Below are 18,998 nucleotides of genomic sequence, written 5' to 3' on the forward strand. Positions count from 1 at the left end.
CAAGATTAAAGAGTAATTTGTCCTTTATTTTCAGTAAAAAAAGCAAAAAGATAAAAATTCATCATGCAAGGTATGGGGAGATATAGAAAGTTAATCCTTTTCAGACATAACCACTTTGAAGGGCATAAAAAGCTTCTTCTTAGTTCAAATCAAAAGAAAACGTCAATTAGCAAAAACTTTGCTAAAATCTGTGATGCCTCTTGATGGAGTTGGTTTGTGCATATTATGTAGAGATTGACTAAGAAAAATGATGGCAGCAAGAACCCCAGCTGTGGTATGTAACTACATAAGGTTGACAAATGCTTTGCTGTTTTTGTCCTTACACGAAGGGACTTATGTAAGATCAGCCTGAAAAGAGGTTCTTGGGTGTTAATGCGGATACACTGTCAGGTGAGGATGGTGTTTCACGTTCTCTTACAAAGCCTGTGACAGCCCACCTTATGTCTTCCTTGCAGGACAGAGGTCAGATCAAGGCCACCCCTTCAGGATGACCTTCTTTTCTTTGAGAAGGCCCCAAGCAGACAGATTTCCTTACCAGACTTGTCTCAAGAAGAGCCTCAGCTGAAGACCCCAGCGCTGGCAAATGAGGAAGCACTGCAGAAGATTTGCGCTCTCGAAAATGAACTTGCTGCTCTCAGAGCTCAGATTGCCAAAATTGTGACCCAGCAGGAGCAGCAAAATCTCACTGCAGGTCTGTAAGTCCTACATTTGTTAGTTTTAACTTGCAAACTAGAAGTTAGGAGAATGCTACTTACTTTAAAATCAATTAGTAACAGCTATTGGGGTTCTTAGAAAACCAGGTGTCATCCAGGTACGGTGGCGCATGCCTGTAATCCCAGCACTTTGGGAGGCTGAGGCAGGCAGATCACGAGGTCAGGAGACCGAGACCATCCTGGCCAACATGGTGAAACCCCATCTCTACTAAAAATATAAAAATTAGCTGGGCGTGGTGGCATGTGCCTGTAGTCCCAGCTTCTTGGGAGCCTGAGGCAGGAGAATCTCTTGAACCTGGGGGGTGGAGAACCAAGTGAGCCAAGATCATGCCACTGCACTCCGGCCTGGCGACAGAGCAAGGCTTCTTCTCAAAACTAAACAAAAAACAAACAAAAAAACCAGGTGTCAGTCCTTTTTGCATAGTCCAACAACAACCAGGTCAGGTTTAGATGGTGTTCATTTTGAACAATCTTGGTGCTGTCAGAGAAGATGACTAGGAAGTATCTTTTGGAAAACACTGGAATTCATACAGTTGAATTGCTATATAGTGGATGCTTTCCTTTCTAATGGGAAACTTAGTTGTCTAGGATAATGGCACCAACCATATCAGACATGAGGTAATGCCATGGGTTGCTATCTACTTGGTGAAAGGAGCCTGGGTTTCTGTGTGGTACGTGTTGGACTGAGTGGTGTTTACTACCTGCATGTCTTGATGCAAGCACTTGACATCTCACCTGCCTTTACTGCTCTAAAATGGGGATAATAGTACCTATGTTACTGAGTTATTGTGAGAATAAATATGGAAAGTATATAAAATGCCTTTAACACAAAGCAGCTATTTAATAGTTATTCTTCTTCCTTTTGCACAGAGTAGAACCTGAATTCAAGTCTTCTGGTCTAACACCATTGGGTTTATTAGTGTGACATTCTCACATTGGGGAGGAAACTATAGCCTTGAAATTCTAGCCCACTAACCTATTGGCAAGTAGTGGTTATTTTCCTATTGTTGTTTCCAAGGCCTGGCAAGACTCAGTATTAACCAGCTCTGTTGGATAAGGACAATTAATTACCCTGCCTCTGAGCCACTTGGCTTATACTTCTGGAGTTTAACGTAATCCAGCATGGAAACCTCATTTGACCTGGGCATGGCAGAGGTGGGTGGGGGTGGAGGCACTCTGGGCGCTGATGCTGGACTGTGCTTATGCCTGTAACTTGCTAAAATTCTCCACTCCTACCTTTTTCTTGTCTTAAATTGATTTTTCCTTTTGCTTTACCTCCCTCTTCTGGCTGACTGGGAAAGTGCTACCATAAATAGATAATTTTGAAGCTCTATTTATAAGCTGAAACTTTTGAGTAAAAATCTTTTACATCAACACCTCCCCAATCAAACTAGTTCACCCAATAAACAACTTTCTAACCTCCAGTTATGCAGAAAGAGGATTTTTAGGTCCTTACTTCATTTCCATAACTCTTAGTTACTTCTTGTTTTAGAGACAGGGTTTCACTGTGTTGCTCAGGCTGGTCTTGAACTCCTGAGCTCAAACTACCTGCCTTGGCCTCCTAAAGTGCTGGGATTACAGGTGTGAGCCACTGAGCCCAGCCCAGTGCAGGCTTTTAATGCTTAGTAAGTCTTATATGAAAATATACTTAAAATGAGTCACAAATTTGTTAGTTTTCTCAAATCATTAAAATAATACTAAATTGTCAAATTGTATGTAATGTAGACTTGTTTTTGCAGTACTTTGTTTTATATTTCTGTTAAAAGTGATTACAAACTGTGCTGTAGTCAAACTTGAACATTTGATATCACAAAAACACCTCTGTTAAGTTAAATAGAAATTTTCCATCTGGATAGTTTTGGATTGAATGATACAGTGGCTGAGATTCAGGCATTTCTCATGAAGTAACTGAAACTGTCTTGCTTCTTACATAACTGAAACGTTAAGAATATTGTTTTTAGGGGTACAAAAATCTTTAACATCATTTTGCTTTTAAAAACTGATATTTTCTTTGCTTAATACCAGTGGGATTAAGTTTGTTTTCCTTTGTTTCTGTAGGTGACTTAGATTCTACCACATTTGGTACCATACCACCACACCCTCCACCTCCCCCACCGCCCCTGCCTCCCCCTGCACTGGGGCTCCACCAAAGTACATCTGCTGTTGATCTGATTAAAGAACGAAGAGAGAAAAGAGCCAATGCTGGAAAGACTTTGGTTAAGAACAATCCAAAGAAACCTGAAATGCCAAATATGCTAGAGATCCTTAAAGAGATGAACAGTGTAAAACTTCGGTCAGTGAAGAGGTGAGGATACATTCACCTTCTTTCTTCCCCATTTGTTTGTCTTATAAAACCAAAGTACCAGGCTTCTTGAGGAATTTTGTTTATAACATGACTGCCATGAATAGTTTTTAGTTTAAAAAAAAGATGAGCCCCAGTGGCTTCTATACACAGTAGCTAAGAGATTAGCAAAATAAGCTAACATTTCCCAGGTGATGTTTTTAGTTTTCCCATTTTATTTAAATATCAGCCTTTTCATGTAAAGTCTTCACTGCAGTTGCTCAGTGAGCATTCACTAATTCAATAAAGGCGTGCTGTGTACCACTAGCATAGTCACTAGACATGCATGGAACAGGGAACTCTATTTGCCCTGAAGGAGAGTAGAGTCCATGTTCTGCAGACATATTACATGGCCCTTTATTGGACTTCTGTGTGCTTTTGTTGAGCATTAGCTCTAGGCTTCCATCTCAATGCTAGCAGTATTTATCAGGTCTCTATGGAGTAGCTATGATGCTGGAGAGGTGCTGTCAGGCAAAAGGTTGACAAAGTACTTCCCTGAGGGTGGCCAGTGTATTGATCTGTCCCCTTGGTTTGTGTTCACTTCTCTAAGGTCAGAGCAAGATGTGAAGCCCAAGCCAGTGGATGCTACTGACCCTGCTGCCCTCATAGCAGAGGCTCTGAAAAAGAAATTTGCTTATCGGTATCGAAGTGATAGCCAAGATGAAGTTGAAAAAGGAATTCCAAAGTCTGAATCAGAGGCCACCTCAGAGAGAGTGTTGGTGAGTTATTTGCCCAGATTTCTTTCCTGTTATGTAGAAATCCATCCCATTGCCAAGCACTTGCATTTTGCAAGTGATTCACCTGTGTCATCTGTAAGTTCCAAAGGGAGGTGATACAGGATTTGGTCCCTGCCTTACAAGTAGATCACGGCTGGTTGGGAAAAGGATGACATCTTTGCTTAGCATTTACACTTTTACTTTTCTAACTATGAAAATAATAGTTGTTCATTTGGAAATTTGAAACTTGTAGAAGAGCAGAAAGAAGAAAGCCAAAGTTAACCCCTGAGCTCACTACTAAGTAATCTCCAATGTTACATTTTCTATGCAGGGTTATATTTTTATTTAAGCATAGTGAAGTGAAATTCAGTATAGTAACAATGTATATTTTGTGACATAGAAATTCAAAGTACAGTGAGATCATTTTCTCTCAGGGCACCCTGTGAAAGTCTTCTGAAGAGGGTGACATTTGATGTGGGCCTTGGAGGATGTGTACCATGTCAAAGGTGGAGACTGGGTACATTTCATGGAAGCTCCCACATAATAATTGATACATTCCCTTTATTAACATTACTGTCCTGGGGCGTGTGTGTGCTAATCTATTCCAGAGAGGCAGGCATCTCAGAAATTCCAGCACCTTTGAAACTTCTTAAGACATTGGAAAGGAAACTTTGTACTTTCTCTCTTTACTCAGAGAAGTAAAATTTAACAAAAGCAGGGTATTGCCAAGATGGTTGTAGTTTTCATTTAGAGGAAGCAGTTTGGCTACTTCTTTACCTTTCATTCTGTTGATATGTTCTGTGTTCATAACAACCCATCAATTTGTAAAGGTTTTAATATTCCCAGTAGTTGCTTGGTTTTTCATGCAGAACATACCCAGCCCTCTAATCCATGATTGGGAGGTGGGGGCGTATCGTTACTGTTACTTGAACCAATATCTTTATTTATACTTTTTGTTTGTTTCTAGTTTGGGCCACACATGTTGAAGCCAACAGGAAAAATGAAGGCTTTAATTGAAAATGTATCAGACTCCTAATAGACAATGAGCTGCGAAAAGACTCCTGGTTCCCCTGTTGATTTGTGAGGGCCAAGTTTGCTAGTAGAAATCGACACTGTTTAGTAAATACCTCTTTAGTATTCAGTGGTCTTCTTTTCAGGCTAATTAGTGGATTAAGCAATAATGAAAGCACTAAGTTTGGTTTTGCTTTTGTGAGATGGTCAGCTTTGGTGCTCTCCACAACATGTGTGTTCTGACATGTTTCTAATATGTGGCCAGGGCGTTCAGATTTCCAGTTTTGAAAACAATTGTATAGATTTCACAACACAAAAAGGACATTTGTGGATGTTACTGCACATTTTAAATTCTTAACACTAATTTATCTGTATAAGTGTTTTATATGCATATTTTTGGACATAAACAGTTTATGTAAAATTAGTAATGAATGATGGCAACGAGGGCACTGTTATCTTCGTTTGTTTTCAATGATCATTTAGCATTCAATGATGGAACAGCTGGTATAACATAAGTTGTTGGCATGAAATATTTGAGATTGGAAACTTCTTGCCTTGAACAGAACTTATATCTTAGATTCTCTCTCACATTTTCTTGGAGCTGGGGTTTGAATAGGAACCAGATGATGTTCACTGCTGAAATTCCATAATGCTTCCCATTGAAGGGAAGTTGAGAACCAGGAAAGCTGCTTTCACGTCATTGCCATCCAGTACTGACAGGGAAGAAAGATGTAGTTTTCCAGTAGTGATGAATCAAATTATTGAATTAAATTTCTTCTTAAGAAGTAAAAACTCAGAATGTACCATCTTGTTTCCTTTCAGTTTATTAAATGGCATCATAAAGATGACTTTGCTAAGTTAATAGAGTTAAAAATTTTTTTAATATAAGCCAAAATATTAACTTTAATGAAACATTGACTTGGCAAATGAATTTCCTATAAATTATCATTGGTCAGAATGCTGTTTTGTTTAATAATATTACGCAACATAAACCATAGGTGTTATTAGAAGTGGAGAACTGCCTTTTTCATCTGGGGCTTTTAAGGACTTGCTATAAATGATTATTTTTTAAATGCTTTATAAATCTTCATGGTTTTTCTATTTCTGATACACTCAGCTATAGTTAATACCAGAGTATCCTACCAGGAGTAATATTTGGAATATTTAAATCTAGTAAAAGAAGAAAGTTGTACTTCCTGGCTGGGAGTATTAGGAGATGGGAGTAGAGATTCACTTTTAAGTTCTTGAAAATATATGCATTCTCCTAAATATTAACAAAAATGATTTGGGGAAATGACATGGCTTGATTGTTCTGTTTAAATTTGTACTGTGGCTTATGTTACACATGTTCATGTTCACCTCTCATTCACCTGTTTTATATGGTTTAAAATTCTCTTTAACAAAATTCAGAAAATTCACCTGAAACGTATTTTGACCTAAAAGAAACATATTTTTGTATCAGTATTGAATTTTGGACAGTGCCCCCATATAAGGAAGTTACTGTTTTAAAATAAAGCAAACTAACTGTTTTATTTTCCTTGGACCATAGTGCTTCCATTTTTTCTTTTTTCACAATAGGTAAGATTCTTTTGCACACGTAGCTTCTTTAGAATAATTTTCTTTCTGCATTTTTCAAGTGGAATTATATTCCTTAAAATAAGCTCTTAAAATCACCTCTCATTCACTTTTTCTCATATAAAGAGATCTCAGCATTAAAACAGGACAGTCATGAGGTATCACAGTTGACTCAGGGTTCTCAAACCCATAATCTACTTCTGAGATTGGTGAAATTTGTCTTCCCAGCTTCTCCCACACCCACGTCATTCAGTTTCTAGTTCTTTCACCCAACACAACACCTGAAGTAAAAGACCTTAAGAATAGTTATACCTCAGCTAGGTATGAGAAAGAAAGGTAACTAACTTTCCTATGTTTTGTCTGAGTTCTGATTGAGGGACTCTCATATATATATATAGAGAGAGAGAGAGAGAGAGAGAGAATACAAGACAGAATGGGAAGATCTGAGTCAGAGAACACTGGACTTGGAGCTTTACATGATCCCCTGTTAAATAATTTATCTTTACTTTTGCATTATTTTACACAGGGTCTCTGTAGTTTCCAATAAAATGATTTCTCCAGTGGTCCCTGGCACCTGTAAAAGGCATCATCCTATGCACTTGCTTGTGCAGGCTTGGCATAGGAGGGGTAGGACTTGCAGTCTTTAGTTCTGGTTGTTTCCCCAGTCCCAGGCCCTTCTACATAAGACTTGTGTCTTCTTTCTGTATTAGGAATGCCTATGTGTCTGTCTCTCTGGTGAAGAGGAATACACGTGGTAATAACTAGCAGAAACAAATACTTTGAAAAAACCATAGTTCTGATAACTTCCCCAGAAATAAATAGAAGTTCTCTCTGTGGGATAGAATCTGGCAGACAGAAGTTTAAACTTTCAGGAGTTCGCCCAACAAAGTCAGCGCTGGGATTGCCAGATAGATAGAATGAGGCACTTGGTTTCAATTGCAGTAGGTTCCTGTTTCTGTGTCCTCTTTCCCTTTCTCATCCTAGAGATTTAGCATTCTTCTCTGCTACCCTATTGATCCTATTTGTTAGGATTCTTCTTAGACTTGCCTTGTAAACCTTATAAACAATCTAGCTCTTCCTTGGTCTTGGTAGCCATCCTTTGAGGATGGGATAATAAAAATAGCATAACCAAGTAAGGATCTATAACTTTTGCACACTTCTTCCTTCCAAGACTATTATTATCCTTAGTCTAGTTCATATGGTCTAGAAGCCTTAATGTTCCTAAAGCTGGAACTTCTCTGATACATTCTCCAGCCCCTTGTTAAGGTCACAGAGGGCTCCTTCGATAAGGGCAGAGTAGAACACAAGTGTCCTTTAGACATTTTCAGGAGGGTAAATGTTAAGACAGCTCAAACAGTGCCTCCTGATCATACCAAATGGTTATCCCAGGGCAGTCCTCCATAACCCAATTGGAAAAGCCTTAATTTGGGGAGAAAGGCCAGACTCTTCATAACAAGATTTTAACCAAAGGTATAAAAACATTCTGTTAATGTTGCCTAATGGTCACCCCTCTTCATTAGCCAGATACACTTTTTATCGAAAGGTGAAAGAAAGCGTATTCCCCAGGTACTATGTTGTGGAAACTAGGTATCATTTTAAGGGTGAAAAAGGATACAGCTAGAGCATGGTTGGAAATCATTCTGAAATACTAGCATTGAGTACAAGGGGAGGGAAGTGCATAAGGCACTGACCGCGGGGGCTGAGCTGTCCAGATCCCCCCAACCCCTGCCTTCCCTTCTGCAAGGGGCACGCCTGGTAATGTAGAGACTGCTCTGTAACCCAGGACACAGCCCTGATGAGCTTTTCCAATCAGGTTCTCCCTCATGAATTTGAGTAGGAAGCCTCTAGAGTGAATCAGTGCCAGGAGCTCAAATAAAGATGTTATGAGGTACAATTGTATCCATGTGTTTATATAAGTAGAAATTATCAAGAAATGAACTAAAAAGAATAGCCATAGTAACCTTTGATTTAGCACTTACCATATATCAATAGTTAATTTTACTTTAAGGAACAGACATGTTATAGGTTAGGGAGCCACTCAGAAGATTAGGTAACCTGCCTAAGGACCCAAACCTAGGTCTGACAAGCTGTAAAGACAGTGCTCACCAGAACTGACCATTCCAGCACCTGGATCTCAGATTTCTAGCCTCAAGAACTGTGAGAAATAACTGTTGTTTATAAGTCACCTAGTTTCTGGTTCTTTGTTCTAACAGCCTGAGTGGACTAAGGGAAGCACTATCCTTTCTAGTATTTCCTTCAAAAAATTCATCTTTAGATCTGTAACTTCTTTTACTGATTTCAACTAAGTTAAGGGAACTTGGGAAATCATTACAGTCTCCTGCTGCTTTACAGGACATGGCTCAACAATAAATACTTCAAATCTGTGTTCCGAAATGTCATGTAAATAAATGTACAGCTTAAAGATAGGTGTTGTAATACAAGATGGAATGTCTTGGCAAAGACTTATTGATGGGACCAGTGGAAAGCTTCAGTAAACCAATTACATCACTGTGCTTCAATTTTAAATTATAGCCAACAAGAAATCTAATATTAAAAACAGGAGTGGCCGAGTGCCGTGGCTCACGCCTATAATCCCAGCACTTTGGGAGGCTGAGGCGGGTGGATCACCTGAGGTCAGGAGTTCAAGACCAGCCTGGCCAACATGGTGAAACCCTGTCTCTACTAAAAATACAAAAATTAGCCAGGCGTGGTGGTGCACACCTGTAATCCCAACTACTCGGGAGGCTGAGACAGGAGAACTGCTTGAACCTGGAAGGTGGAGGTTGCAGTGAGCCAAGATCACACCGCTCCACTCTAGCCTGGGCAACGGAGACTCCCATCTCAAACACACACACACACACACACACACACACACACACACACACACACAAACAAAACAAAAACAAAAATGTGTTTCTCTCTTTCCCCCACCATCCTATCAGACTTTAAGGTGGGTTTCAGGACAAGTTAGGACATGTAGGTATAAGACTAAAATATGTAATTGATGAAAGTATTTTACCTAAAGTAGCATATTGAACATTTAAAACTATTTTAGAATCAAATTTGAAGGCTAAGTAACTTTATCGGTCATAGATGTTAACTATTTTTTGAAACAGTCTTACTCTGTTGCCCAGGCTGGAGTGCAGTGGCACAATGTCAGCTCATTGTAACCTCTGCCTCTTGGGTTCAAGTGATTCTCCTGCCTCTGCCTCTCCAGTAGCTGGGATTACAGGCGCACACCACTATGCCTGGCTAATTTTTGTATTTTTTTTTAGTAGAGATGGGGTTTCGCCATGTTGGCCAGGTTGGTCTCGAACTCCTGACGTGAGGTGATCTGTCCGCCTCAGCCTCCCAAAGAGCTGGGATTATGGATGTGAGCCACCACACCCAGCCAACAATTTTAAAAATACAAGAATTACTAGATATGGTGTCATTTTTATCATTACCCGAACAAAACCCTACATTCTCCTAAACAACCCAACACTACTGATACCATACAGAAACCCGCCATATTATATAACATGTTGCACTTATTATTCTGTCACCCAGACATGTTGAGAACAGAAACCAAGGTTTGTAATTTTTAATGCCCCCCTTTATTATATATCTAGTGCCATCTTCTGCACACAACAGAAACTTGGATACTGCTTACCACATGACTCCAGTATAGACGGAAGAGTTTCAATATAATCTCTTAGTAATAAATCGATAGCTAAAAAGGGAACACATTAATTCCAAATTAATTTGTTCAACAAACGTTTATTAATGGCCCAATGTACACCAGCCCTATGGTGAGCACAGGAACCAGGAAGATGGAGGAGACCTGCTGGGTGCTCTCCATCAGCTCACTCCCAAGTGGTGGTCATTCCACCTGTAGACCATGGGCTCTTGGGGGCCTTCCAGATGACACAAGTCATTATTAGCAAGGAACAAGCTGCTAATTCTTGCACAGACCTGTATTACTCCGTGTTTCAAATGTATGCAGATGCTACAGTGATTAATATGCACATTTCTTTGAAAGCAATACTGAATTCCTATTAGCTATTGGTCACTGTGTATTTTCTCAATCAGGAGATACCGATTGAGGGGATTTTAAACAACATTTATACATTAAAATATTTATACATGCTTGAAAACACTGGAAATACCTGATGTGAGAGTTTTAAGAAAATAGAAAGTTTAATAAAAACCAAGAAAGCATTTTGGAAAAAAAGATCATTTTCAGAATCTTCAAGGAATTACTAGCACCTCTAATCTGTACCTCAGGTACAAATATATTTGTTTGCAAAGGACATAAAATATGATTTTTACTTTTATACAGAGTATCATTACCAACCATCACATTTACAGTGAGTACAAATATTGACCAGGAACCAATTTTTCTTTTTTAAAGTTAGGACTTGTCAAAATTTTCTCTCCAAGGACCTTTTACTCCTAGAGCAGAGACTCCCTCAGCCCCTGAAATGTTGAGCCAAGAGGCCCAAAGGGTGGCCATGTGTGTGAAAATTTTTAGTCTCCCATGTAAAATAAATTTTGCATTCTGTTCTGTAATATTTACTTGCTTTTTAAAAAAGTAATCTTTTAAATATTTAACTGTTTCCTAAAATTTTTTAGAAAAAAATATTCCAGTAATATAGGTCGTATTTAAGTGGAGCTATAGGCCTGATGCAGTGTCTCACACCTGTAATCCCAGCACTTTGAGAGGCCACGGTGGCAGGACTGCTTGAGCCCAAGAGTTCAAGACCAGCCAAGCCAACAAAGAGAGACCCTGTCTCTATAAAAAAGTTTTTTTTTTTTTTTTGAGACAGAGTCTTGCTCTGTCACCTAGGCTGGAGTGCAGTAGCACAATCTCTGCTCCTTGCAACCTCCGCCACCTGGGTTCAAGCAATTCTTCCGCCTCAGCCTCCCGAGTAGCTGGGATTACAGGAATGCGCCACCACGCCCAGCTAATTTTTGCATTTTTAGTAGAGATGGGGTTTCACCATGTTGGCCAGACTGGTCTCGAACTCCCGACCTCAGGTGATCCACCCACCTCAGCCTCCCAAAGTGCTGGGATTACAGGTGTGAGCCACCATGCCCGGCCACAAAAATGTTCTTAAAAAATTAGCTGGCCGGGCACGGTGGCTCACGCCTGTAATCCCAGCACTATGGGAGGCCGAGGCGGGCGGATCACGAGGTCAGGAGATTGAGACCATCCTGGCTAACATGGTGAAACCCTAACTCTACTAATAAAGTACAAAAAAATTAGCAGGGCCTGGTGGCGGGCGCCTGTAGTCCCAGCGACCTGGGAGACTGAGGCAGGAGAATGAGGAGAATGGCGTGAACCCGGGAGGCGGAACTTGCAGTGAGCCAATATCGCGGCACTGCACTCCAGCCTGGGCGACAGAGCAAGGCTCTGTCTCAAAAAAAAAAAAAAAAAAAAAAAAAAAAATTAGCTGGGTGGTGTGGTGGCACTCAGGAGGCTGAGGTGGGAGGATTGCTTGAGCCTAGGAGGTGGAGGCTGCAGTGATCATGCCACTGCACTCCAGCCTAGTTAGCAGCGAGACCCTGTCTCAAAAAAAAAAAAAAACAAAAGGGCTATAGAAGGTGATTCCCACATATACATAATAAAACAACTTTTCAATGGGTTTATTATATGTGTAGGCAGGAAATGGGAGCCACACCCACAGTTCCCCTGAGAATGTGGAAATAGGATGATCTTTTCAGTTTCAAACTATAAGAGAAACAATGGATCAGAGCAGAAGCAATCATGTATACAGGCAGAATGGAGCCCAGGTAAGCTCAACTGAAACAAGGCTTGAGGTAATGACGTTATTTAATGCATGTGCCAATCAGAAGCTGATGTAGAGAAGCAACTACTGGCAGAGAATCTCTAGCACCTTCCAGGGGAAGAGGGTACCCTGGTCCACAAACATGAATATCACAGAAGACATGGGTCTTCTGTGCACCCAAAGGGACATGGGTGCACGAGGCAACTTGCTTCCCTTGCTCAGAATCCATGCTCACCAGCTGCTCATAATTTGGCTTCCCAGGAAGATTTGCCTAAAGGGAGAGAATAATTGATAGTTACATTTCTCACTGTAAATTAAAATATTGATAGTGTTTTAAAAAAATAGTTACTGTGAGCTTGGTTAATGTGGGTTTGCCATGATAGTTCCACTCTCTATGTACTGAAACAGTGGGCCTGAATTTTTAAGGATCTGAGTTATCAGACTTTCTGTACACATTAAATATAGGCCAAGGTATGGCCATCTCACGAGAGTGACCAGCTGACCATATTCCTCTACTACCCTCAGACCTCTATACCCACACTGTCCAATATGGTAGCCACTAGCCACATGTGGATATTGGGTGCCTGAGATATGACTAGTCCAAATTGAGATGTGCTGTAAGTACACAATATACACTGGATTTCAAAGACTTAGTACCCCCCAAAAGAATGTAAAAACATCTAATTGTTTTTATATTGACATTTTAAAGTGATACAATATTTTGGACGTATTGGAATAGATGTTACTAAAATTAATTCCATGTTTTCTAAATGTGGCTACTAGAAAACCGAAAATTATGTGGCTTGGATTCTGTTTCTATTGGACATCAACACTCTTCTGTACAAATAATATGTTAATGTGTTTGATTTAGAAGTTTGCACCATATCCCTTCTAATGAGTTGGACCTGGGAAGATATAGGGAATGGCACAGTGGTACCTTGTTTACAACTGATATCAATCAAGTAGAGTGGAGTGGCCTTTTCTTATCACTTTAAAAAGGCCAATGATTGATAGAAATAAATACAACTAGTATTTTAGTACTTGCAAGACTTGCTGATGTCTTATGCAGTTCACCACTGTAGGAACAAAAGGCCTGGCTCAAAGCTGACCTCTCCCCTGTGTTAGTCAGGACTCCAACAGCCCTAACTGGGCTTCTGCTTACTCACTTGCAAGGTGAGTCATTAGTAGATAAGCTCGGACTGAGTAAACATCTGAGGGATGAATTACAAGAGCCAAGAAGCTAACTTTGATTTCCTTGTAATTTAGCATTGTGTTTTCCAAAAGATTGAGTTATAAGGTAAATGTCAAAGATAAAAATATGAAAAGATAGGTTTTTATTCATCAAAAGTTAACAGCAACAGGCACATATTAAAATGAGTATGGCAAAGCCTTTTACAAATGGCTTTACACTCAAGCTTTCTCCCAAGAAAATGGCTGTTGCAACAAACTGTAAACAATTAATAAACAGTCTTTTACAGTAACAAGGGAAATACAAATGAACTAAAAGAAAGCACCGGTTTCTCTTAAAACTAGATTACAGTTGTGCTTACTATACATAAAACAATTTAAAACAAATTACAAAAGTGGAATGTTTGAAGTTTAAAATTAGTCCTTATAGTTTGTCCTAGAAAACATCTGTTCACATCAAAAGGCCCGTCAAAGGGTAACGTTTCATCAAAGGGAGGGACAAGAAAACAATGCACTTTTTTCAAATCAAAACAAGAAGTTTGGTCACTTAGCTATGTGCATAGTTTAAGGCAACTGGAGCAATCTGTTACAGCTTACCTACCAACCTTCCCCTCCCCCGAGTGTGGCTGCTCATTATGTCACATTCTAAAATAATAAATAAAAGCTTACATTTCAAATCTTTGCCCACATGGAGAAACATAACATGCACAGTCACACATGCACAAACATGCACGCAAACACACATCCGTACATTCACACACAACATACCTCTCACTCACTGCAGCGAAAGGGACTTTAGTACCCTTGATCTGAAGGACACACTCTCCCATCCCACTTTTATTTCAGATTGGCAAATACCCTGAGCTGATTATGGTGTTTTAAACATTCCACCTTTTTCTCGCATGTGCAGGTCAAGTGTACAGTAGTGAAAACAACATGCAATGTCTTCACTGCAGAATCATAATACAGCTAGGACATTGGTGTTCTTCCCCTCCCACCCCAAATTAAAAACTAATTGCTAAAAAAAATTGCATTGCCAAACGGCACTGGAGTGAAAGCTTGGCGGTACTCTACGATAAATGCTCAGTTTCCAGTGCATGAAATAAAACTATAGCAAATGGGAGGCTTTGGTGGCATCCAAAGAAGAAAAAGGCAAACCAGGGGGAAAGAGCTGCAGTCTAAAGTTTGATCTTTAAATTTGTTTGAGTGGTTCCTTCACAATCATGCTCCAAGGCAATTTAGAACCAATATTTTCAGAGTTGATTTGTAAACATTGTCTTGCCAGAGGCAGCAGAGGCTGGGCACTTCACATTTCCATTTTCTCAGAGAGAACTTAGTGGAAGGTACAAGATACACATTGTTGCATCAGACTGGTTAAATTCCAAGAGATTGTTGCTGAACAATTCAAGTTTCACGTTTTGAAGATTAGATGCTTTGAAAAAGTCGTGGCACATATCAAAACTTCCTTTGTTACTCCTTTCGGATTCTCTCCTGCTGGGCTTTGCATATTCAAGGTTTCACATGAAAGCCAAATTCATATTGCTGTATGTTCGGGTCTTGCAATTAACAAGTGGGTTCAAATGATCCAACAGAGGAAATCTTGGAAATAAATAATGCTGGCTGGCATCACTCACTTGGAAACCTTGGCAGTCAAGAGTTAAGTTCTCTCACCTCAAGACCCCATTTCACATTTCTAAAAACCTCCAGGAGGCAGTTTGTCCCACTGGTTCTGGGGGTTATGATAACCGATTTTCCTGAGGTAATAACTGTGAGTTCAACTCAAATGCAGCATCAGTGTCCTCACTGCTCGACTGTTCTCTCTGCAGTCCCTTCCAGCTGGCTTTATTCAGCCCCACGTGTCCAAGCATTGTCTGGGATAGCCTTGTATTGGAAAACCTGGCCCATTCTGTAAATAAAGGCTCCACTAGGTAAGTCATAAAACCTTGAGAAAATAGGAGAAAAAGTTATTAACATATATGCTGAAACTCTATCTTTAAAACATCATCTATACAACATTAACCTTCCTACATCCTACTCCAGTATTACCCAGATCTTATTCTTCAAAAGATTCCTGTGTATGTGTAGGTGACAGAGTCTGTAATGTACATATCCACTTTGAAGAACTGATTTCTTAAGTAACTCAATGGAAATTTGAGTAAAAGTGAACTGACAAATATATCTAACCTTTTCTGGTTATCCTTCTCAGTGGCACAACTACATTCTTCTACTTAAGCAAAAATACACTGCCCATCTAAACTCTGAGGATACTCGGGCATAGCCCAATTCGAGGCAGAGTTGCAGTGCAACAACTGGAGGCTAAGAAGGGGTCTCCTTCAGGACTGAGGGTGATGTGGCCTGAACTGAAGTGGAGCTGGCAGTAGTCTACTGCTTTACCCCTCAGGGATGGAATCTTCATGCCTGGTCATGACTACAATTGGTCATTTTATTTAACTCAGAATTTATAAAGGCAAAACTTATGATAAGAGTCAGTCTAAAAATAACAGGTGGGGTTAGTGAAAAAATCATTAAAGTGAACAACAAATGTGTACCAGAGACCTATTTTATAAACAATTCATATAATCTCCCTTAATTCAGTCAGAAAAGGAAAATGAGTGATTTCAGGATTGTTGCATCTTTAGGTTATATAGCACTCCACTGCACATTAGATCTGACTTAATACTAAGTAGTATCTTAAACAAGGTCAAAAGAAGCCCTCTAGAAAATAGCTATCAATCAAATCATATTATATATTGGGAACAAATAACATCTTTATCACATTTTGATCTGTTAAGAATGGGGAAAATATACATTCTGATTCTATCACGCTTTAAAATTTTCTTCATATCCAAGACTCTCGTTGCAGCAAAAGACCATGTGGACCACAGACAACATAGGTTCCATTTATCCAACATAAGAATCTCACCAGAATTAAAGCAACCAGCATCCACTACTTTTAATCAGGAAAGTTATATATGGTCTGATGGCTGAATTTTTTAAGTGTATATAATTATGGTATCTGAAATATTAATTATGTACAATATGTGCAATAAGGCTTTCTTTCTTTCATTGATCCATTCCCTCCACACGTATTTACTGAGAACCTACTATGTCCCCGGCACTATGCCACGGTGGCTGGGTATACAGCAGTGAATAAGACAGACAAGATCCCTGCCCTCAAGGAGCTTATGTTCTGGTGAGGAGAAAGAGATAACAAACATAGAAAAGTGTCATTATAGTCAAAGCACACAGCGGCTTTCTGGCAGCCATCTTCACACTACAGTGTTATGTTGAGCCAGCCACCCAAAGCCCTGTCTTTCCTACGTGCCATAAAGTCATAAGCCACTGGAGTTATCTACCCACATGGCCCTTATTATTATAGGTTTCATACCATTCATCTTATTTCATCCCTCTCACTGTTCCAACTGGTTGAGATCCTTGGGGATCTTACCTCCAACAGCCAACAAATTAGCTATCACTTCTGGCTCTACGTTAACCTAAAATTTCTTTTAGGTTTTAAATACCTGATAAAAATGAACAGACCAGAGCCATGGACCAGCCTCTCTCTTGGAGGGCAGGACTCTGTTAATTAGTACCTCGAACACAGCTGTTCAACCATTTGTGACTCCATTTAATTGTACTAGCCCCACAAGCCTCTACTTTATCTTCACAGATTTCACAGGACGCCTTGTCAAATGCCTTACTCTTATCCAGTACATATTTTCTTGTTCAACAAAATTAGTATTCCTATCAAAGAAAGAAACTGTATTAGTTCAACATGACTTGTACATACTGCCCCTATGTTGGGGAGTAGTAATCACTGCTTGGTGAGTTGTTAAGAGGCTGGGATTTGATGTCCGAAAGACCTGGATTTGAAGCCCAACACCAACAGCTGTTAACTGCATGAAGTGGGCAAACCATCTGAAAATAAGGATGCTCAAAGCACCGGTCCCCTAGGGTTGTTGTGTGGAGTCAGCAGATGTCAACAATCACCATCAGATCAGTGACCTTATCCCTGACAACCCATTCTAGATCTGTACAACACTGACAAGATCAATAGCTTGAGATGAACAGTGAAAGGGATCTAGCTTCTGTTACCTTATAAAAATTACAATGTTTTAAATCTCATTTGCAAGTTCTCCCATTAAGCAAGGGAGTAGTTTACTAGGATAAAAAGACATTTAATATTAAAAGTAACTGAGTTGACTACCGATTCACCTGTCTTCGATTCAATTCTCTTTTGTCCATTTTTTTTTTTTTTTTTTTTTGAGATGGAGTGATGGAGTTTCATTCTGTCACCCAGGCTGGAATGCAGTGGCACGATATTGGCTCACTGCAACCTCTGCCTCCCAGGTTCAAGCGATTCTCCTATCTCAGCCTCCCAAGTGGCCATCACACCCAGCTAATTTTTGTATTTTTAGTAGAAACGTGAGTTTCACTATTTTGGCCAGGCTGGTCTCGAACTCCTGACCTCAAGCGATCAGCCCGCCTCGGCTTCCCAAAGTGCTGGGTTACAAGTATGAGCTACCGCTCCTGGCCACTTTTGTCCATTTCTAATGTATTCTTTTGCATTTGAAGATTATTCTACTTGAGAATCAAGACAAAGCATATCTGGTTCTAAATTGTTTTACTATCCTCCCAAAAGAAAAGCATCTGCTACTCTCAGCATTCCTGGCCAGTGTGAGCTCTCTGGGAGATTCAGCATCCCTCACACTCCTAAAGTCTGGCCACAGTTCTACACGCTCTTCCCTTCTCTACCTGTCACTCTGAAGTCAAATCGGCCACTACCCACTTTCTTCCATGAGTATCCATTGCAATCACAATGTAAGAATTACGTTTCTGAATTTCTGGCCCCATGGCATGGTCTTCCTTTCTGAGTATGATGCCACATATTGTGCTACCTTCTTAGTTTCTGGAAACTTCATCTTTCTGAACTTTGGGCACATATTTCACTGTGTTCAGTCTGATTCTCAAAGGCCCTATTCAACACCAGCTACCAAAATTACACTCCTCCCTCTATTCCTTGTTGAGCTACTGCCCCCGTAGAATCCCCCTCCTTTATACCCAAAGCCCAACACACTCAATCCTAGTCAACTTTCCTGTGAACTCCTGCAACAAGCTACACATACTTCAGTCACAGGACATTTTCATTATGCTTTCTATAATACAGTTATTAGTTCACTCAACACACAGTTCTCAAGGGCCTCGTGCTTCTGGTGTGGTGCTAGGCTCCAGGAATCCACAACCAAGTGGATCAGGCACTTTGGAATCTAGAAGAAAAGTGACTGACTCTGCCTAAAGCAAGTGGAGAGCAGCTTCTGGAGAAGGTGACATTTGAGCTGCCTCTTCAAGAAAAATAACTCTACGAGGCACATGGAAAGCACTGGCGAGGCACAAAGAGCGAAAGAACAGCGTATACTTGGGAAACACAGAAGCGTCCCGAGATGCTGTAGGCAAATGAGAGGGAAGTTGAGGCAAGATGGCTGCACAGCATTTGAAGCAAGATTATAAGGGCCTGTCTAGGATGTTGAAGAGTTAGATTTAATCAACAGGCAGTGGTAAGAGTCTGGAAAGGCAGTGGCAGAAGCTGGTCTTCGTATTATGATCAGGCTCAGTGGGTCACCACCTATCCATTTTTATTTTATTTATTTTATTTTTGTCATTTCTTTGTTTACCTATCCTTTTT

General features: G+C 40.1%; 2 protein-coding genes across 34 annotated transcripts in view; one reads left to right on the forward strand and one right to left on the reverse strand.

Annotated features, from left to right (window-relative positions):
- MTFR1 (mitochondrial fission regulator 1) overlaps window positions 1-18,998 on the forward strand; it is a 134,710-nt gene that overhangs the window by 60,350 nt on the left and 55,362 nt on the right. For 15 of the 30 annotated variants that reach the window (NR_182101.1, NR_182102.1, NR_182100.1 and 12 more), the window contains 4 exons: window positions 456-691; window positions 2,772-3,018; window positions 3,605-3,773; window positions 4,738-6,324. Coding sequence is in view for 26 of the 30 variants with exons in the window: in NM_001413068.1 (NP_001399997.1) it covers window positions 456-691; window positions 2,772-3,018; window positions 3,605-3,773; window positions 4,738-4,806 (721 nt within the window). In the remaining 4 variants the exon portion in view is untranslated. Of the gene's footprint in view, window positions 1-455; window positions 692-2,771; window positions 3,019-3,604; window positions 4,101-4,737; window positions 6,326-15,141; window positions 17,526-18,998 lie in introns of those variants that run through there. The other 15 variants (XM_006716484.3, XM_047422463.1, XM_011517626.3 and 12 more) reach the window with 8 other exon arrangements.
- PDE7A (phosphodiesterase 7A) overlaps window positions 10,096-18,998 on the reverse strand; it is a 127,731-nt gene continuing 118,828 nt past the window's right edge. For all 4 annotated transcript variants that reach the window (NM_001242318.3, XM_011517540.4, XM_017013538.3 and 1 more), the window contains one exon: window positions 10,096-15,257. In NM_001242318.3, coding sequence (NP_001229247.1) covers window positions 15,052-15,257 — 206 coding nt within the window. In that variant the 3' untranslated portion in view covers window positions 10,096-15,051. The remainder of the gene's footprint in view (window positions 15,258-18,998) is intronic.

Source organism: Homo sapiens, chromosome 8 (genome assembly GCF_000001405.40).
Source record: "Homo sapiens chromosome 8, GRCh38.p14 Primary Assembly".
In the NCBI taxonomy this organism is placed as follows: domain Eukaryota; kingdom Metazoa; phylum Chordata; class Mammalia; order Primates; family Hominidae; genus Homo; species Homo sapiens.